This window comes from Homo sapiens, chromosome 17, assembly GCF_000001405.40.
Source record: "Homo sapiens chromosome 17, GRCh38.p14 Primary Assembly".
NCBI classification, from domain to species: domain Eukaryota; kingdom Metazoa; phylum Chordata; class Mammalia; order Primates; family Hominidae; genus Homo; species Homo sapiens.
Genome location: NC_000017.11, coordinates 77317866 through 77337136, shown reverse-complemented (window position 1 = coordinate 77337136; position 19271 = coordinate 77317866). Strand labels below are relative to the sequence as shown.

The following is a 19271-nucleotide window of genomic DNA, read 5'->3' as shown; positions in this document are numbered from 1 at the left end:
CCCTGCTACTTAGGAGGCTGAGGTGGGAGGATTGCTTAAGTCCAGGAGTTCAGGCTGCAGTGAGCTACGATGGCACCACTGTGCTACAGCCTGGGCAAGAGTGAGACTCTGTTTCTTTAAAAAAAAAAAAAAAAAAAACGGGGGGCAAAAATCAATCATTGTAATTTATCCTATTAAACGAATAAAAGACAAAACAATGATCATTTCCATAGATGCAGAAAAAGCATTTACTAAAATCATACCCATTCATGTTAAAAAATTTCAGCAAATTAAGAATAGAAGGGAATTTCCTCAATCTGACAAAGGTCATATATGACAAATCTAAAGTTAACATTATAAGTTTGGCACAGGCAAGGATGTCCACTAATCACTACTATTCAATACTGAACTGGCAGCTCTAACCAGTGCAATAAAGCAAGAAAAAAAAACAAGGCATCAAGATCAGAAAGAAGTAAAACTATGTATTTAAATCCTAAAAGACCTACAAAACCATTACCAGAGTAATAAATGACTTTGGAAAAGATCATAGGATATAAGATTTACATACAAAAATCTATTGTATTTTTACATACTAGCAGCAAATAATTAAAAATGAAATTTAAAATCTATTTCAGCTTAAAATAGTGCCAAAAGTAAAATTCTTAGGAATAAATTTAACAAATGGCATGCAAGATCTTTTTCTTGAAAACTACAAAACAATGTAATTCTGTAGAGATTTTTTTTCAGTAGAGAAATAAAAGAAATACAAAAGGACCTTTAAAACGGAGATATACCATCTATACAAAAGACTCAATATTGTTAAAATGCCAATTCTTCCTTAATTGATCTACAGATTCAACACAATCTCAACCAAAATTCACACTGCATTTTTGTAGACATCAACAAGCTACTTCTTAAATTTATAAGGAAACTCAAAGGACCTAGAATATTCAAAGTAATATTTTAGATATTTGAGAGACTTTATATTAAGACTTACTGTAAAGCCACATTAATCAAGATGTGGCATCAGCAAAGGAATGGACAAAATATCAAGAAAACACAATAGTGTCTCAACACAGGGCCTACATGTATACAGTACATATACTAATATAGGACCACATATACAGTCAACATAGGACCTACATGTATACAGTACATATACTAATATAGGACCACATATACAGTCAACATAGGACCTACATGTATATATGTACATATACTAATACAGGACCACATATACAGTCAACACGGGGCCTACATGTATATATGTACATATACTAATACAGGACCACATATATATATACAGTCAACATAGGGCCTACATGTATATATGTACATATACTAATACAGGACCACATATACAGTCAACATAGGGCCTACATGTATATATGTACATATACTAATACAGGACCACATATACAGTCAACATAGGGCCTACATGTATATATGTACATATACTAATACAGGACCACATATACAGTCAACATAGGGCCTACATGTATATATGTACATATACTAATACAGGACCACATATACAGTCAACATGGGGCCTACATGTATATATGTACATATACTAATATAGGACTACATATACAGTCAACATAGGGCCTACATGTATATATGTACATATACTAATATAGGACTACATATACAGTCAACATAGGGCCTACATGTATATATGTACATATACTAATACAAGACCACATATACAGTCAACATGGGGCCTACATGTATATATGTACATATACTAATACAGGACCACATATACAGTCAACACGGGGCCTATATGTATATATGTACATATACTAATACAGGACCACATATACAGTCAACATGGGGCCTACATGTATATATGTACATATACTAATACAGGACCACATATACAGTCAACACGGGGCCTATATGTATATATGTACATATACTAATACAGGACCACATATACAGTCAACACAGGGCCTACATGTATAAATGTACATATACTAATATAGGACCACATATACAGTCAACATAGGGCCTACATGTATATATGTACATATACTAATACAGGACCACATATACAGTCAATATAGGGCTGATATGTATATACTAATACAGGACCACATATACAGTCAACATAGGGCCAATATGTATATACGTACATATACTAATATAGGACCACACATACAGTCAACACAGGGCCTACATGTATATACGTACATATACTAATATAGGGCCACATATACAGTCAATGATTTTTAGCAAAGGTGTCAGGTAATTCAATAGAGTAAGGTATGTCTTTTCAACAAACGGTGCTAGAACTGGATATGAGTATAGAAAAACAAGAATTAACCCTGACCTCAAACCAAATACAAAAACTGATTTAAAATGGATCATACAACATCCTGACGGCTATAATAGGTTAAAAAATGTAAAAATTTAAAAAATTAAAAAATAAAAGGAATCATAGAATATACAACTATAAAATTTCTAGAAAATAAGAGAACTTCTTTTGACCTTAGTGTAGGCAAAGATTTCCTCCATAGGTCACAAAAATCATAAATCGAAACTGGAAAAAGTTGATAAATTGGACTTTATGAAAACAAAATACTCTTGCTCATTAAATAACATCATTAAGAAAACCAAAAGGAAAGGAGCAATGTGGAAAAAAAAACTTATGATACATATATCTGATAAAGGACTTATATCCAGAATATATAAAAAACATATGAAACAACATTTTTTTTTTTTTTTTTTTTTGAGACAGAGTCTTGCTCTGTCACCTAGGCTGGAGTGCAGTGGTGCAATCTCGGCTCACTGCAAGCTCCGCCTCCCAGGTTCACACCATTTTCCTGCCTCGGCCTCCCGATTATCTGGGACTACAGGCGCCCGCCACCACGCCCGGCTAATTTTTTGTATTTTTAGTAGAGATGGGGTTTCACCGTGTTAGCCAGGATGGTCTTGATCTCCTGACCTCGTGATCTGCCCGCCTCGGCCTCCCAAAGTGCTGGGATTACAGGCGTGAGCCACTGTGCCCGGCCAATTTTTTTTTTAAATGAGACCCATGGGGAAACAGTCAAATGAAGAAACAACAAAGCAGCAACAAAACAAAACCCAAGTCTTACCCCACTGTGCAGCTGCAGGACAAAGAGCAGAAGCCTGTAGCTGGGGAACAAGGTGTTCATTCTTTCAAGCATTATAAAATGAAGGCTTCAGAAATCACTCGATCTTGAAACAACATAATTTTAAAAAGAAGTAAGACGTGGACAGATAATTTTACAAAGGAAAATACGTAAATGACCAACAAGGATCTTGGAAAATTGTGCGACCTCATAAGTCACCAAGAAAATACAAAATAAAAGCTTTAAAAAAAAATGAAGTTTGGAACAACTGAATAAACACATAAAACGACAACAAAATGAACCCTGACCCTCTACCTCACACCATATGCAAAAGTTAATTCATAAAAGCTATATAACTCTAAGCCTTCTAAAGGAAAACATAAATATCTTTGCAATTTGGCAGGGTAGGCAAAGGTTTCTTACAAAGAACACAGAGAGAGAACCACAAAGAAAGGAGTTTGTTAAATTAGACTTCATAAAAATTAAAGTGACACACTTTTGCTTATTGGAAAATACCACTAAGAAAATGAACAGGCCGGGCATGGTGGCTCATGCCTGTAAAACCGGCTCTTGGGGAGGCAGAGGCAGGAGGACAGCTTGAGCCCAGGAGTTTCAGACCTGCTTGGGCAATACAGCGAGACCTTGTTCTTGAAAAAGGAAAGAAAATGAACAGGCAAGCCACAGACTGGAATAAAATATTTGTAAAACACGTATCTGACAAAAGATCAGTATCCAGAAGAAAAAGTCAAGCAACCCAATTTTAAAATGAGCAACAGATTTGAAAAGACATTTCACAAAGGAAAAATATATGAAGAGCCAATCATGAAAATGTGCTCAACCGCATTAGTCATCAGGCCAAAGCAAATTAAAGCCATAATGAGATGATACCACTACACGCCCACCAGAATGACTAAGATTTCACAGAGTGACAGCACCAAATGTTGGCCAGGATGTGGAGCAACTAGAACTCGTATCCATTGCTGGTGGGAGTGTGAAATGGAAGGGCCACTTTGGGAAAAGATCTGGCAGTTTCTTATAAAACTAAATGTATACCTACCCTATACCTACTCTAGGTGTTTCTACAGAATAAATGAACGCCCATATGCACAGAAAAACTTGTACAAGAAGAACCAGCGTAACAGGTTTACTCATAAGAGCCTCCAGATGGAAACAGCCAGGGGTCTTTCAACAAGAGAATGACTAAAAACCCACAGAATGTTCACACAGTGGACGTTACTCAGCAATAAAACAGAACAAATCGCTGGCACCTGCAGCAACATGGGTAGCTCTAAGAAACACTCAAACTGGCAAAATTATTTCGTGGTGGAAAAAAAGCACAATTGTGGTTGCCCTGGGGAAGGTGGGGACTGTGATGCACCTGGAGGGGCATGAGGAACTTACTGGGGTGATAGTGATGTTCTATGTTCTGGTCAGGCTGGGATACACGTGGATACCTTTGTTAAAATTCAAAGAACGGAACGTTTCACACCTGTGCATCTCAGGGTATATACATTTTACTTCAAAGAAAAACAAAAATAATCACAGACAAATGCCGGACTCTAGTTAATGAAATGCAAACTGAGGTGTTGACAGGATGTTGTGTGCTGATTTCTGCAGCTTATTTTAAGTGCATCAAAACCAGCGTGGATGCTGGTGGCCAGAGGGATTTGTGGTGAAGCAAACAGCAAAATGGTTGCTGTGGAATCTAGGTGGTAGGTGCATGGGTGTTTACTTTAGAATCTTTCATGGTTTCTTTTTTGTGGTTTTGTTTTGTTTTGTTTTTGAGACAGGGTTTTGTTCTGTCGCCCAGGCTGGAGTGCATTGGCACAATCCCAGCTCACTGCAGCCTCAACCTCCCAGGTTCAAGCAATCCTCTCACCTCAACCTTCCGAGTAGCTGGGACTCCAAGCCTGCACCACCATGCCTGACTAATTTTTTGTATCCTTTATAGAGATGGGATCTCACTATATTGCCCGGGCTGGTCTTGAACTCCTGGGCTCAAGTGATCCTCCTACCTCAACCTCCCAAAGTGCTGGGATTACAGTCATGAGCCACCACACTCAGCCCTCTTTCATCTTTTCTATGTTTGAAAAGTTTTACGGCAAAAAGTTGGAAAAATGTAAAAAAGATTGAAACCTATCAACCAAAAATAGGAAAAATAAAATAAAAGAGATGGCAGGAGACCACCCCCTTTCCCCCTAACTCAGCTTCCAACCCTCCCTTTCCCCGCCCAGTTAGGACAGGAACCCCAAGGGCTCGGGCCCCCCGTGCCTGTGCGGGGAAGGAGGCACCCCCGTGCCTGTGCGGGGGCTGGTCATCTGCCCTCCGGTGCATTCTCTGCACTCCACTTCCCCTCGCCCGCAGTGAGCAGTCACAGTTGGCGGAAACTACACCCAGGCAGCCTCTGCCCACAAATTCAGTGAAAATGCAAACCCCGCAGGAGCTGGACTCTCGAGAGCTTGCGGCGCCACCTGCTGGAGGAAAGGCTTTCTGCACCCGAGTTCCTCTCCCCTTCCTCGCTGCCACCCGCCTCCCTGCCCAGGCTGGGCGGGTCCCCTCTCTGCAATCTCGGGGCACTGGTGCACGGGAAATGCCCAGTGCTTCATAACCTCCCCCCACCCACACCTCAACATCCAGTCCTCAGTGGACACCGCCCCCGCTCGACAAACATATCACACAGGCACAGTCCAAGACCACCCATTCCAGGAGGAGCATAAGCCCCAGTGCCCATCACCCCAGCCTCTTCCTCTCTCCCTCTGACGCAGTGACATAGGCCCAGGACACTGAAGACCCTTGACTTTATAAACATGCTGAAGTCAATCATTCTGAAGCTGTAGTTTTTATTATTATTATTATTTTTTATTTTTTGTAAAGACAAAGCCTTGCTATGTTGCCCAGCCTGGTCTGGAACTCCTGGATTCAATTGATTCTCCTGCCTCGGCCTCCCAAAGTTCTGGGATTGCAGGTGTGAGCCACTGTACCCAGCCTGAAGCCGTAGTTCTTTAATTATTGTCAACAGCAATACCCATCCCTCTGTGAGCAGCAGGGCCTGCTGGCATGGCTGACAGCCCTGCATCACTGCATCGAATCTGCTGCCTGGGACTCCAGGTGAGCTCCGATTCCCAGCTGGAGGGACAAGCTGTGTGGGGCTGGGCAGGGTGAATTGCGGGAGACCAAGCCCAGACTGAGGGCCACAAGCCACATGAGCACTGGGGCCAGGCAGGGACAGTGAAGGAGACAGTGCAACTCTGAGGAAAGACAACGCCACAGAATGGAGAGGCCCAGGCCCGGGGTTCCCTTCTGCTGCCGGACAGGCATGCCTGTGCCTCTCCCCCAGTCCCCGTGATGGTCAAGCCATGTGCTCTCTGAGAGGCAAGCGAGGCTCCTGACAGCAGGCTTTAGGCTTTAACCAAATTGTCTGTTCTGCAGGGTGAGCTGCACAGGTGCCCCCACTCCCGACTTCTTTGAATCCCTGTTGTCTCCAAGTCCTACCCATCCTTTCCAGGTGAACAGAAACACTGCCCAGGGGAGAACGGAGGAAGAATCCAGGAAAGGCTGCCCGAGAGCCTGGCTGAGTCCACGCCATCGCCAAGAGCAGCGCCAAAACTCAGGAGCTGGTGAGATTATGGCTCAGGGCCCACATCAACATGAGGGGGTGTCAGTCCCATGATCAATGAGTCCCTGTCTCACCACCTCCTGCCATCCACACCTTGAGGGCCACAGCCAGCACGTGAATTGGAGCTGGCTCCCGGCACCTTCCTTCCTACACCAGCTCCACAATGTGAGGTGGGGGCCCGCCCCCAGAGGCACCCGGAGCAGCAGGTGCTCCAAGAGGGGGAAGTCCCCCCGAAGCCCTCTCTCACCCACGGCACAGGACGCAGAGGGGACAGAGCATCAGGAACACCCAGCGATCACAGGGGTCTGTCCCGAAGGAGAGGAGGCAGGAGGCAGGGAGAGTGGCTGGGAGGCTAGTCTTGGAGTGTCCACCCCCCATTCCGAGGGAGAGGAAGGAAGCAGAAGGTGAGCACAGGGAGCCCCAGCTGGGGATGGAGCGGGGGCTGCAGCTCGACTGTGTTGCCTGGAGCGGGGGCATGGACTGCAGCCCCCACCCACCTGCCTGGCCAGTCCGAAGCCACCCCAAGTCTGGAGACCTCACTTGTCCTGCTCACCCCTCCCAGGGATGGTGTCCAAACCCCGAAGCCTTGGCTGGTGCTGTAAATATGGGAGGGAGGTTCTGCCTCACCCCAGCTCCAAGAGCCAGCCAAGAATGTTCTGGATATCTGAACCTTGCCCCGAGTCAGAGGCTGGGAAGAAACCTGAAGGATGGTGGGACGGTGGACAGCAGTCCTCAGGCACCAGGCACCAGGGTTCCTGCTTGGGGATGGGGGCACCAGCAGGTGTTAAGTGCATCACACCAGGGCTCACCATGTCCCTGCCCAGAGACTCAGCATCCCACGAAACAGGAAGGAACGAGGGATGAGCGTGCTTCCTCCTCCAACACCCCAGCTCCTGCCTTGAGGCTGCCAGGTACCCAACCTTCCCAGGATCCAAACCACCTTGGCCTCACCCACGGCCAAGTGTACCAAACCACAGCCAGGACCACTGGGCTCAGACACCAAAAGCGCTCCTCCTAAAGCCGGCAGCCACCAGGGCAGCACAGGGCAGTGCAAGGCTGGGCAGGGCCGGCCACCTGTCAGCATCCAGTGGCCTCTGCTGGATGCTGACGGGGGCAGCCAGGCAGGTGGGTCCATCCAGCAATCAAAGAGATCCTCCCTCTCCAACTTCCTCTCTAAAGAGATCCTGATCCTCCCTCTCCAGCTGCAGGGCCTGCAGCAGCCTCCTCCCTAGCAGGCCTCCCTGCCTGCCCCTGGCCATTCTCAGCAGCCACAGGGCACTGAGGTCCCACCATAGTGAGAATAAAATCAAGCCCTCACCAGGGCCTCCAAGGCCCGGCACGACCTGGCCCTGCCTGTCGCATTGGTGTCACCATGGCCCGTCTCTGAAAACACACTCCAGCCACTCCCACCTTCCCCAGGCTCCAGCCTCGGGCCTTCACACCTGCTGTTTCCTTTGCCAGGTTGCTCTTCCCTTGGATTTTGGCCTGGCTGGGTCCTTCTGGTCATTACAGCTTCAGCTCAGTGTCACCACTCAGAAAGGGCTTCCATTAATCCCCTCGCCACACACACAGATATGCACCCCCAGCAACCTGTTCTTAGCTTCTTCACAGTCCTCATCTAAAACCACCTATGGATTTGCTCATTTGTGGACTGCCTCTCAGTTCCAACTGTTAAGTAACAAGCGACCAGCGACTGTGTCTTTGTTGCTCCTCATTACAGGCCAAGCACCTAAGAGAGGGGCTGCACATAGTAGGCCTCAATAAACATTCACCAGACGGGCCAGGCACGGTGGCTCATGCCTGTAATCCCAGCACTTTGGGAGGCCAAGCTGGGTGGATCACTTGAGGTCAGGAGATCGGGACCAGCCTGACCAACATGGTGAAACCCCATCTCTACTAAAAATACAAAAATTAACCAGGCATGGTGGCGGACGCCTGTCATCCCAGCTATTTGGGAGGCTGAGGCAGGAGAATCGCTTGAACCTGGGAGGCGGAGGTTGCAGTGAGGCGAGATGGCGCCACTGCACTCCAGCCTGGGTGACGGAGTGAGACCCCGTATCAAACAACAACAACAAAACATTTGCCAGAAGAACTAAAGCAGCCTGCCTGTGTCTAACAGGAACTTAAGAGCACAAGATGAACTCAACCAAAGGACACACACAGCAGGCATTTCACAGCTGACACCTGTTGGTGGAGGGAGATTAGGAAAGTGGGGAGAGGCAGTGCCTGGGCATGGGGACACCCTGGGCATGGGGACGCCCTGGATACAGGGACACACTGGGCACGGGGACACCCTGGGCACAGGACGCCCTGGGAACGGGGACACCCTGGGTACGGGGACACCCTGGGCATGGGGATGCTCTGGATACAGGGACACCCTGGGCACGGGGAAACCCTGGGCATGGGGATGCCCTGGATACAGGGACACACTAGGCACGGGGACACCCTGGGCATGGGGATGCCCTGGATACAGGGACACACTGGGCACGGGGAAACTCTGAGCATCGGGATGCCCTAGGCACGGGGACGCCTCCTGCCACCTGAAACCCCGCAGCCCCATCACACCCGTCTGTTCCAGCAAATCGGTCCAAAGAGCATTTTCAAGCTTTCATGGCAAAGTTTCAGAGCCAGTGCCTCTTCGCTGATTTCGAGGGTGTGTTGTTTATTCAGTGTTCAAGTCAGAGTTTCCCCATTTAGAAAAAAAAAGAGGAGGGTGGCTCCACGGATGGAGGTATGAGGGCGTCCACAGGCAGAGGGAGTCTCCGGGCTGAGATCTGCGCCACTCTCTGTCCCAATTTCAAGGCGTAGCCTGGAGCCCAAATCAGTCTCCAAACGTGGGCCGCTGGTTAAGAGGAATCTCCCCACCCACGATCCCCTCCCATACCCAGCCCCCACTGCCCAGAGCATGCCAGCCTTGCCTGCCCTGGCCTTCAGGACCCCCTCAGGGACCCTCAGGCTCCAAGTCAGGGTGGGCTTGAACCAAGGCAGCCCCAGAATCTATGCCAATGCCCTTGCCAGTGGGAGACCCTGGGGAGCACCGTGCGGGATGCATGGGGCCAGGCGGGGGCACACAGCGAGCGGCTTCAGAAGCTCTGGCCGTTCGGAGTGGGGGGGTGCCCAGAGCAAGAGACGGGCCAGGAAGCTGGAGTGAGCAAGGAGGCCTCAGCCCCTGGTGGGAGCAGGCCGGGTAAAAATAAACTAACCTGAGGGCAGCAGCCAGCGAGACCACTACAGGAGGGGTGGTGGGGCCGGAGGGGTCCCAGGAGCCCAGGAGAGGGAGGCATTGCCAGAGGTAAGGTCGGCAGATGAGAGCCAGTGCTGGTAGGATTAACTTGCTACAGCAGCTATGGTTTATTCTTTTTTTTTTCTTTTACACATGTTCCTGGGGCTCATGGAATTTACTAGTTTATTATAAAGGATATTACAAAGGATACAGGGGAAGAGATGTGTAGGGCAAGGTATGGGGGAGGGACGCAGAGCTTCCATGTGCTCCCCAGGCGCTCCACCCTCCAGGAGCCTCCACATGCTCATCCATCCAGAAGCTCCCGGAACCCCATCCTTCTGAGTGTTCACGGAGGCCTCATTACGAAGGCATGATTGATTCAATCATTGGCCGCTGATGATCTGCTTAACCTTCAGCCCCTCTCCCCTACCTGGAGGTTGCGGGGTGGTGCTGAACCTTGTGATTCTACCTGGTCTTCCCTGGGAACCATCCTGAAGCTGCCAGCTGGTCTGTCAATCATGAGCATCCAAAAAGACATCACTTTGGAGATTCCAAGGATTTTAGGAGTTGTGTGCCAGGAAATGGAGATGAAAACCAAGTGTATATTTCACAACATGACAGTCAGTCTCTTTCAACCCCAGTCTTACTTCCTGCCGTGCTGCCGGCCTCAGCCCCCCGCGCCCCAGGGCCTTTGAACACATTGCCGGTTGCCTGCAGCGATCGCCTCTGCCTGCTGGGTTTGAGCCTGGTTTACTCCCCTCATCCTTCTGCGCTCAGCCCGAAGGTGTCCCCCCGAGGCAGCCCTCCTGACCTGGTCCTACGAACCGCAGGTTCTGTCCTGCCACTGGTCCCCTTTGTCACACCTGTCACTTCCTGTGTTTCACGTTTACTGATGTGGTCTTGCACTTGTGCAGTCCCATGAGGGCAAGGACTGTGTCTGGCTTTGTCCTCCACGGGACCCCAGCGCCAAGTCCACAGGGAGCACCCAATGCTGAATGAATGAATGAGTGACCGGCAAGGGAGGTTTATTTTGTCATGTTGGGGGTCAAAGGTTGCTGGGCGGACCACATGGGTGAGGTTGGGTGGGGAGGGAAGCAGAGATGACCCCTTGGAAGAAGGGGTAGGAGGCGGGGAGGTGGGTGTGGGGTGCTGTATAAGGATGGCAAGTGCTTCCAGGGGTGACAAGCCAACCTAGAGCACCAGGCAGCAGAAAAAGGCTGACACCCTCACGCCCCACTTCCACTTAGGGAGAGGCCAGGCCTCCGGGAAAGCCAGCTCCCCGTTGCTAGGAGAGCCCCAAGGGAAGCTTCATCAGCTGCTGAGTTGGTCACAGTGGAAACCCATGTGGTGGGTGGGAGGGGTTTGAGGCACAGGGGTTTGGGTGGTGGCTTCAGGATGGAGACTTGTGTCCAGATCATGAGGGGTGGCCCCAGGGATGACCACCTCCAAACAGGAAGCAGACAAAGGCACAGATGGCAGAAGCGGAGGCAGAGAATGGGCTGCAGGGGCTTCCCCAGAGGGAGAGCCGAGCAAGGGGACAGGCTGGAAACACTCAGCCTCCATGGCCTGAAGCACAGACAGCTGGTCTCACACGCAGGCCGGGCAGCCACACCACCTAGAACAAGGGGCATGTCCGCAGGGCAGGCCTCAGGACGCCCCGGGCTGGCCCTGCCATCAGCCTAGAAAGACGGCCCAGGCTTTCCCGGTAGGGAGCACGTCCAGCCAGGTCCTGGGCAGGAGCTGAGACTCCCTGGCTGGCCTGAGAGGGGATGATCGAGTGCAGGCCCAGCCCGGGACTTCCCCACTCCTCCCCGCCACCCAGCGGAACCAGCTGGGCGTGAGAAAAGAAGAGAAGTGAATCAAGAGCCCAGAGCATGAGGCTGGACCAGCCCTTACACCACATGCAAAAATCAACTCAACTTGCATCAAAGACCTAAACTCAAGAGCTAAAACCACAAAACTCTTAGAAGAAAACACAGGGGAAAAGCTTCCTGACGTTGCATTTGGCAATGATTTCTTGGATATGGCGCCAAAAGCACAGGCAACAGAAGAACAAATAGATAAAGTGGAACGTCATAGAAGTTTAAAATATTTGCATATCAGCCTGGGTGCGGTGACTCACGCCTGTAACTCCGGCACTTTGGGAGGCCGAGACGGGTGGATTACTTGAGGTCAGGAGTTCGAGACCAACTTAGTCAACACAGTGAAACCCCGTCTCTACTAAAAATACAAAAATTAGCTGGGTGTGGTGGCGGGTGCCTGTAATCCCAACTACTCAGGAGGCTGAGGCAGGAAAATCGCTGGAACCAGGGAGGCGGAGGTTGCAGTGAGCCAAGATCATGCCACTGCACTCCAGCCTGGGCAACAGAGTCAGACTCCATCTCAAAAAAAAAAAAAAAAATTGCATATCAAAGGGCACTAACAACGTGGGGAGAAGGCAATCCATGGAATGGCAGCAAATCATAGGTCAGATATGGGATTAGTATCTGGATATTAATCTACAGATCTCCTAACACTCAGCAACAACAATCATCCAAATCAAACACAGGTAAAGGACTTGGACAGACATTTCTGCAAGAATATGTGCAAATGAGCAATAAACACGAAAAGATGCTCAACATCACTAACCACTGGGGAATTGCAAATCAAAACCACAAGGAGAGACCCCTCACAACCATGAGCTCTGGGCAGGTAGGAAGACGCCTGGTGGGGAGTTGCCGGCTCCATGCTGTCCCCAGAATTCCTGCAGGGGCTAAGCCCGACCCCGACACCTCACCAGGAGCACAGAAACGAGTGGAAAAGGCCAAAGGCCACCCCAAAGGGCCAGAGGGGTCCAGCAAGGAGTCTGGGACATGGAACCATGCTGTGCATCCAGACACACGGGGACAACAGGGGGATGAAAGGTGGCCCCTAAAATTTACATCCACCCCAGAGCCTATGAACATGGCCTATTTGGAAAAAGGGTCTTTGCAGACGTTATGAAGTTAAGGATCTTGAGATGGGACCATTTTGGGTTACCCAGTGGGCCCTAAATCCGAGAAAGACTGTCCGTATGAGAGACAGACAGGGGGAGATTTAGGGCACAGAAGGAGGCCCCGTGACAACGGAGGCAGAGGTCGAGTGGTGTGGCCACGAGCCAAGGAACGCCAAGGGTTTCGGGAGCCGCCAGAAGCTGCCAGAGGCGAGAAGCAGGCTCCCCCTCGGAGCCTCCGGAAAGAACCAGGCCTGCTGATGCCGTGATTTCGGACTTCTGGCCTCCAGAACGGCGAGAGAAGAAATGTCTGGTGTTTTGAGCCACCCAGTTTGTGGCACTTGGTGATGGCAGCCCCAGGAAACCACTACAGGGACCAGAGTTCCCACGGGGCTGGGCAGGAAGCGGGTGCAGAGCGCGTCAGGCCAGGCCTCTCACCTCGGAGATGGAAAAGCAGAGCTGGAGAGGTTGAGACCGGACAGGCACCGAGCGTCCAGGGGTAAGAACTCCCAGGGGATGGCAGAGGCCATCGGGGACAGCACAGCGAGGGACAGGAGGGAGGGGTGAGGGCTGAGGCACCGCCCTCCAGGAGGCCTCGGTTCCCCGCCCACTGATGACCCAGGAACCCCGTAAGAGGAGCTGGGCTTTACCCTGTGCCGTACTGCATCAGATGGACCCTGGTGGGGACAGACGTCCAGCGACAGCGTGGCCAAGCCCCCTCCAGGACCCCGGGCCTGCATTCATGACCATGCACAGACGGCCACTTCCCCTGCCTGCAGCCCTCCCTCGTGGCCTGTTCCTAGCCTCCCAGCCCAACAGAGCTCCCCAGTGGAAAGTTCCCTTCTTGGAGACTCTCTCCCTGCTGAAATACAAGCTCTTGGAACAAGATAAAACTGCTTAATTTGTAAAAGCCACAAAGCCGTTCCAGAACAAAAAAAAAGCTCCGACCCTTGGCTGGAAGGAGTGGCCTTCCATGCCTCAGCGGCCAGTCACCACTCCATGACTCATGCCGGCCCTGCTGACAAACCCTCCAGCACCTTCCCAGGGGAAGGCCACAGCCCCCAGGGAGGGCGGGAGAGTACCCAGGCCCCCGTTCACAAACCAGACCGGAGCCAGACACTGCCGAGGGAGGGACAAGAGGGCAGGTCTTGGGGCTCCTAAGCCTTCCCTGGGGCTGGCAGACCACCGTGGACTCACCAGGGTAGGACCACCCCCTCCCACAAACCCTTCCTGGGCAGCTGTAGGGCAGCCTGAGCTGGACACGCCTCACACGCCAGCCCAGTGGGGCATGAGGCACCCACAGCCACGTCTGGAAGTCAGCGGGCCGGCATCTGCCGGGCAGGCCTCTGTCACACAGGCACAGCGTCCTCCCCATGGCTCCTCCTCAGGCCAGAGCATGCTTGGGGATCAGAGCAGCTCTCGCAGTGGCTTGCAGCCTGACAACGCGGCGTGAGCCATGCCCTGCAGAGAAGAAGAGCCCCTCAGTGAGGGAAGAGGCGCCCACAAAACTCAGGACACGCGCAGAAACCCGCAGGAGGTGGGGGCGCTGCCTAGGGGCCGTGCCGCTCCCACCCCTCACCTTGCAGATGACGGAACTGCGGCCCAGAGCTGCCAAGTGGCTTGCTCAAGGCCACCCAGCAGGGACAGGAAGGAAGTCACTTCCCCAGGGACTGTGCGGGAGTTCAGTGACAATTAAAGACCAGCGCTAAAGTTTGCCCAGGACGAGAACCTCATTAAGGGAAACAGCTCCGGGACTGTCGTGTTCATTCGGAAGGCAGCCAGTTTACAACTGAGTTTCTAAAAATGTACGTTTTCTTACATGAAAACACATCCGAATGGGATTTTGTAGAAAGCATCTTTCATCAAGGCACAGCCCGAGGGGAGGTCCCCGCTTCATCCCTGGCTGTGCTGTCCTCAGCCAAGGGCAGCAGGGATCAGAGTGGTCTCTGGGGCACAGCACTGGCTGCTTTCAAAGAGTGTTTTGTTCAGTTCATGAAAAGCCCGTGTTTTGTGAGCCTGGGAGGGTGCCATCACTTCCAGCTCCCCAGGGAGCACCACCCCCAAACCCACGCCTCTCTGCTCAGCTCTCAGATCCCCTGCTGGTCACCCATCTGGGCCTCGGCTAGATCATCTATAAAGTGAAGGCCGAACCCGAGGCTCCCCGAGGCCCCTGCCAGCCAGGCGGGTGGAGTGACGTCCTCCTGGGGCTGGTGGCCCAGGAGGCAGGGGACCCACTGTGGTCTGCCCAGGCTGCCTGGTGGGGTGGTCACTCCGAGGACGGCTCCACTGTGCAAGCCTGACGAAGGTCCCTCTCAGCGCTCCCTGCCCTGCGGCTCCTGCTGGGCGGAGAGCAGGACGCTGGGCTCCACACCCACCCGTCCCAGCGGGCCTGAGCCCCCGAGCTCAAACAGATAAGATGCAGTTTCACTGCCACCCAAGCCTTCTGCCGTCTCCCCTGGCCCCCTCCTGAGGTCCGCCTGCTGTGCCCGACTGGGTGTGCTCAGCGGCACAACACACACCCGCTCCACCAGTCCCAACGTGACAATCAAGATGTGGCCCTGAGGCCGGGCGCCGTGGCTCACGCCTGTAATCCCAGCACTTTGGGAGGCTGAGGCGGGCGGATCACGAGATCAGGAGATCGAGACCATCCTGGTTGACACGGTGAAACCCCATCTCTACTAAAAATACAAAAAAATATGGCGGGCGCCTATAGTCCCAGCTGCTTGGGAGGCTGAGGCAGGAGAATGGCATGAACTAGGGAGGCGGAGCTTGCAGTGAGCTGAGATCGCGCCACTGCACTCCAGCCTGGGCAACAGAGCCAGACTCCGTCTCAAAGAAAAAAAAAAAAAAAGATGTGGCCCTGGGAGCAGTGGTGGAGGGGACCACACGTCCTAGAGAGGAGCCACCGAGATGGGCCTCCCTCTCTCAGGCCTCTCAGGGACCCCCCAACACACACATAGTGGCAACCAACAGACCAGGGCCCAAGGCACGTAGGGGTTGACACTCTTAGCGACCTCCCGCTCCATGGCCCGTAGGTCACTTCAGAATACCCAAAGCCTGGAGCTTGGCTCAGCCACCCCATGTCTCCCAGCGCTGGGCTCAGAGGGCGGCATGAGCGGCAGAAACTGTCATCACTGCTAATTACCGATGACGGCGCTGGCCACGTGAGATGGCAGCCACGGCACCGCATGTGAGTGAAGGGACCAAGGAGGCTGGGCCTGGGAGGGAGGGCCTGGAAAGCTGGGGTGAACTAAAGGCAGGGGAGCCCCCTTTCTCTTCATTTGCCTGTTCACGCCCTGATGGGTCTGTGCCTGCGGCAAGGGGGCTGCCAGCGTGAATGGACACACGCACACACATGCACACACACGTGCACACACACGCCAGGCTCCTCTGAGCGCCGGGAGCTTCCCCCTCTATAATCAACTGCCAGGAAGGCACAGAAATGCTATTTTAGGTAGGAGACCGAGGCAGCCTTGAAGACAGACTTTGGCTGGAAGCAAAAAACAAACCACACAGTGGACAAACCAACCACCAGCCAGGTCCAAGCGCCGCCGCCCCAGACCCGAGCCAGGGGGGCAGGTCCCCCACACCCTCCCAAGGTTTCGGCGCCAACAGCCTCAGCATTGACAGTGGCCATGACATGCAAGAATGGCACACTGGAAAATGAAAGGGAAGTAGCCAGGAGAGAGGAGAGCCGAGTTTAAATAAAAGCCAGACTCAGGAGAGCTTAGCTTCTGAGACGGAGTTCATCCCACGAGCTTGGAACCGTCAAAAAGAAAAGAAATATTTCTGTGAAAAATGAGCAAAAGCGCCCTTTGCATGCTTATTCCCCCAGGCATAAATAAAGCCCCGAGTCCAGGGCAGTGGGGGGCGGCCGATGGGGAGGGGGCTGTCTGCGTACCTGAGATCCGGTCCCTCTCCATTCCTACGGATATATTTAGCAGCGGCGGGAGTCCCGGCGTCCCGCTCAGAGGCGGCCTCCCCTTTCTCACCCCCGTCGCCCTCCCTCTCTCAGCCTCCTCCTCCTCCTCCTCCTCCTCTAAAAACACTCTTTGTCTGGTCTAATTTCTTCAATCTGTTGCAATCACGAATGCATCCGAATTACCACATTTCCATGTGCTGATCATATGTTTGTGCTCCAAACTGAAGTAGCATTGTCTCTTCAAAACGGGAGGAAAAAGGGAGCAAAGGAGAGAAATCCAAAAATAGGAGGCAGGAGAGAGGGCCCGAAGTGGGCCCCGAGGAGTCCGGCAGACCACCGGGTCTGCCTGCGAGAGTCCCAGAGTCCCGGCCGCCCGGTCTGGTCGGTGGCTGCAGAGGTCCCGAGTGCGGCTTCCGGCAGCCTCCTCTCTCCACCTCCTCCAGCCCCCGCCGCCCCGAGGCTTGCTGCTCCTTTTTAATATCCACTTGGAGATGCTTAACTTAGACTCTTGGAAACCAACTCACAGAGTCAAATTCCTGACGACTTCCAAAGTCTTTCATTTTCCCTGTCCCGCGATGCTACGATTTCCTTGGGCTTAAGGGTTTAAAAAGCCCAGTTCCTGCGTGCCTGCCTCGCCTTCCTCTGTCCTGGGCTGGCCCCAGCCCTTCTTCACCCTGTACCCCAACGTGGCTGGGCAGGAGGAACGGCCGTGCCCCAGGCCAGCGTGCTGAGAAAAGGTTCCGGAGCACCTGCCCAGGAGGAACCCTGAGAAGTCACCCCCCTCCGTCCCATTAGTCTGCAGTGACAGAGGCAGTTGCCGTCCCCGCCCAGGCAGAGAGGGCGAACGGGACGGGGACTTCCTGGAAGATTCCTACCACACACGCATGAGTCAGTGAGTCTCTAGCCGTCCCCTGGGAGGGAGCGAGTCTTCCTCTCCGGGAACTCGGGGCCCCACTGGGGGATCAGTGCTGTTCCCCACTGTTCATCCGGGGTCCTCAGAGGCTGCTTACTTACCTGGGGGGTCCCCACCAGCACATGGTCAGGGTCCATGCTGAGGCCAAGGGCTCAGCAGAGCAGGTGGGGGTTTACAATGTGGGTCCCTGGGGTGGGAATCAGGGGCATCCTCTCTGTCTTTAAGCTTCACCTCAAGGGTTCATTCAAACCCGAGACACGGAGGCTGGTTCTGTTGGCCCAAGCCTGTTTAAAGAGAATGTGTGTTTGTGCCAAGGCTGAGAACTCAGGCAATCTCTCTGAAAACTCCAGACTGTCAGCTTCTGTTGAGAAAGGGAGGACGCGTGGCCGCACCACGGAAGCCTTCCTGCCTGGCCGCACAGGGCTGGTATAAGACAGTTCTGCTCTTCAGACAAAACACTTTTCAGTCTGTGCTGCTCCCCAAGGCCCCCAACAAATTTACAATATTTGCACCCCTCTACCTCGACACACCCCGCAGGCCTCTGAGTTTACAATCCCTGCCCCACAGAGCCAGGTGAGTTACCTGTGACCAGGTGAGGCCCATGCACAGCCCTCGGCTAGATGACAGAGCCAAAGGCCCTGAAGTGCCACTTCAGGCCACAGTCCCGTCCGCTCTCTGCCTGGGATAGGACCCCAAATGCAATCTCCTTGGCAGAAAGGACATCTTCCTGGGGGGTGGGGAGGACCATTCCCAGCCTTCTGGGAGACATCAAGCAACCACCTCCTCCCAAAGAGCCTGGAGGACAGCCCCACAGGCAGCCAGACAGTGAGGGAGGTGGGGACAGCATCTCAGCCGAGGTGGGAGGCTGGGGAGGAAGGGAGGGATCATAGTCACGAGAGAAGGCTGAATAATGGCCCCAGGGATAGCATGTCCTAATCCCTAGACCTGCAAATGGGACCTTGTTTGGAACAAGAGTTTTTGCATCTGTGATTCAGTTGCAGATCTTGCTGTGGCGAGAGCACCCTGGATGGTCTAGGTGGTCCCTAAAGGCAGTCTCGGTGCTCATACAAGACGGGGGCAGAGGGAGATTTGACACAGACAGGGATGGCCAAGTGGAGATGGGGCCCGGAGAGATCTGTAGATGCTGGTGTTGAAGGTAAGGGCCATGCAGCCACAAGCCAAGGGACACCCACAGCCACCAGAGGCTCAAAGGGGCAGGCGATGAAGGCAGTGGCCCCCAACCTTTTTGGCACCTGGGATCGGTTTCAGGGAAGACAATTTTTCCACAGACCAGGGAGTGGGGAGATGGTTTTGAGATGATTCAAGTGTATTATATTTATTATTTTATTTTATTTTATTTTATTGAGACAGAGTCTCGCTCTGCCACCCAGGCTGGAGTACAGTGGCACTATCTCAGTTCACTGCAACCTCCGCCACCTGGGTTCAAGCAATTCTTCTGCCTCAGCCTCCCAAGAAGCTGGGACTACAGACGCCTGCCACCGTGTCCGGCTAATTTTTGTATTTTTAGTAGAAACGGGGTTTCACCATA

At 52.2% G+C, this 19271-nt stretch overlaps 1 protein-coding gene across 4 annotated transcripts in view, besides 7 other annotated features; it reads right to left on the bottom strand.

Annotated features, from left to right (window-relative positions):
• The window catches only part of SEPTIN9 (septin 9), a 219098-nt gene that overhangs the window by 163460 nt on the left and 36367 nt on the right, over positions 1-19271 (bottom strand). Inside the window, exon 1 of one of the 4 annotated variants that reach the window (NM_006640.5) lies at positions 16789-17619. The exons of the other annotated variants lie outside the window; for them this stretch is intronic. Coding sequence (NP_006631.2) covers positions 16789-16810 — 22 coding nt within the window. The 5' untranslated portion in view covers positions 16811-17619. Of the gene's footprint in view, positions 1-16788; positions 17620-19271 lie in introns of those variants that run through there. 4 annotated transcript variants of the gene reach the window in all.
• Positions 6107-6682: an enhancer, noted in NCBI's record as "H3K4me1 hESC enhancer chr17:75326537-75327112 (GRCh37/hg19 assembly coordinates)". NCBI's record gives its function as "activates a minimal SCP1, AML or CMV promoter by ChIP-STARR-seq in naive H9 embryonic stem cells {active_cell/tissue: H9 hESC(naive)}" and the evidence as "EXISTENCE:reporter gene assay evidence [ECO:0000049][PMID:30033119]".
• Positions 6683-7260: an enhancer, noted in NCBI's record as "H3K4me1 hESC enhancer chr17:75325959-75326536 (GRCh37/hg19 assembly coordinates)". NCBI's record gives its function as "activates a minimal SCP1, AML or CMV promoter by ChIP-STARR-seq in naive H9 embryonic stem cells {active_cell/tissue: H9 hESC(naive)}" and the evidence as "EXISTENCE:reporter gene assay evidence [ECO:0000049][PMID:30033119]".
• Positions 10294-11212: an enhancer, noted in NCBI's record as "H3K27ac-H3K4me1 hESC enhancer chr17:75322007-75322925 (GRCh37/hg19 assembly coordinates)". NCBI's record gives its function as "activates a minimal SCP1, AML or CMV promoter by ChIP-STARR-seq in primed H9 embryonic stem cells {active_cell/tissue: H9 hESC(primed)}" and the evidence as "EXISTENCE:reporter gene assay evidence [ECO:0000049][PMID:30033119]".
• Positions 11404-11713: an enhancer, noted in NCBI's record as "active region_12828". NCBI's record gives its function as "activates an Ori minimal core promoter by ATAC-STARR-seq in GM12878 lymphoblastoid cells {active_cell/tissue: GM12878}" and the evidence as "EXISTENCE:reporter gene assay evidence [ECO:0000049][PMID:35858748]".
• Positions 11824-12093: an enhancer, noted in NCBI's record as "active region_12827". NCBI's record gives its function as "activates an Ori minimal core promoter by ATAC-STARR-seq in GM12878 lymphoblastoid cells {active_cell/tissue: GM12878}" and the evidence as "EXISTENCE:reporter gene assay evidence [ECO:0000049][PMID:35858748]".
• Positions 13380-13553: a silencer, noted in NCBI's record as "fragment chr17:75319666-75319839 (GRCh37/hg19 assembly coordinates)". NCBI's record gives its function as "represses an EF-1alpha promoter that drives an FKBP-Casp9 reporter gene in an ReSE screen in phorbol 12-myristate 13-acetate-treated (for megakaryocytic differentiation) K562 erythroleukemia cells {active_cell/tissue: K562(+PMA)}" and the evidence as "EXISTENCE:reporter gene assay evidence [ECO:0000049][PMID:32094911]".
• Positions 16286-16498: a silencer, noted in NCBI's record as "fragment chr17:75316721-75316933 (GRCh37/hg19 assembly coordinates)". NCBI's record gives its function as "represses an EF-1alpha promoter that drives an FKBP-Casp9 reporter gene in an ReSE screen in K562 erythroleukemia cells {active_cell/tissue: K562}" and the evidence as "EXISTENCE:reporter gene assay evidence [ECO:0000049][PMID:32094911]".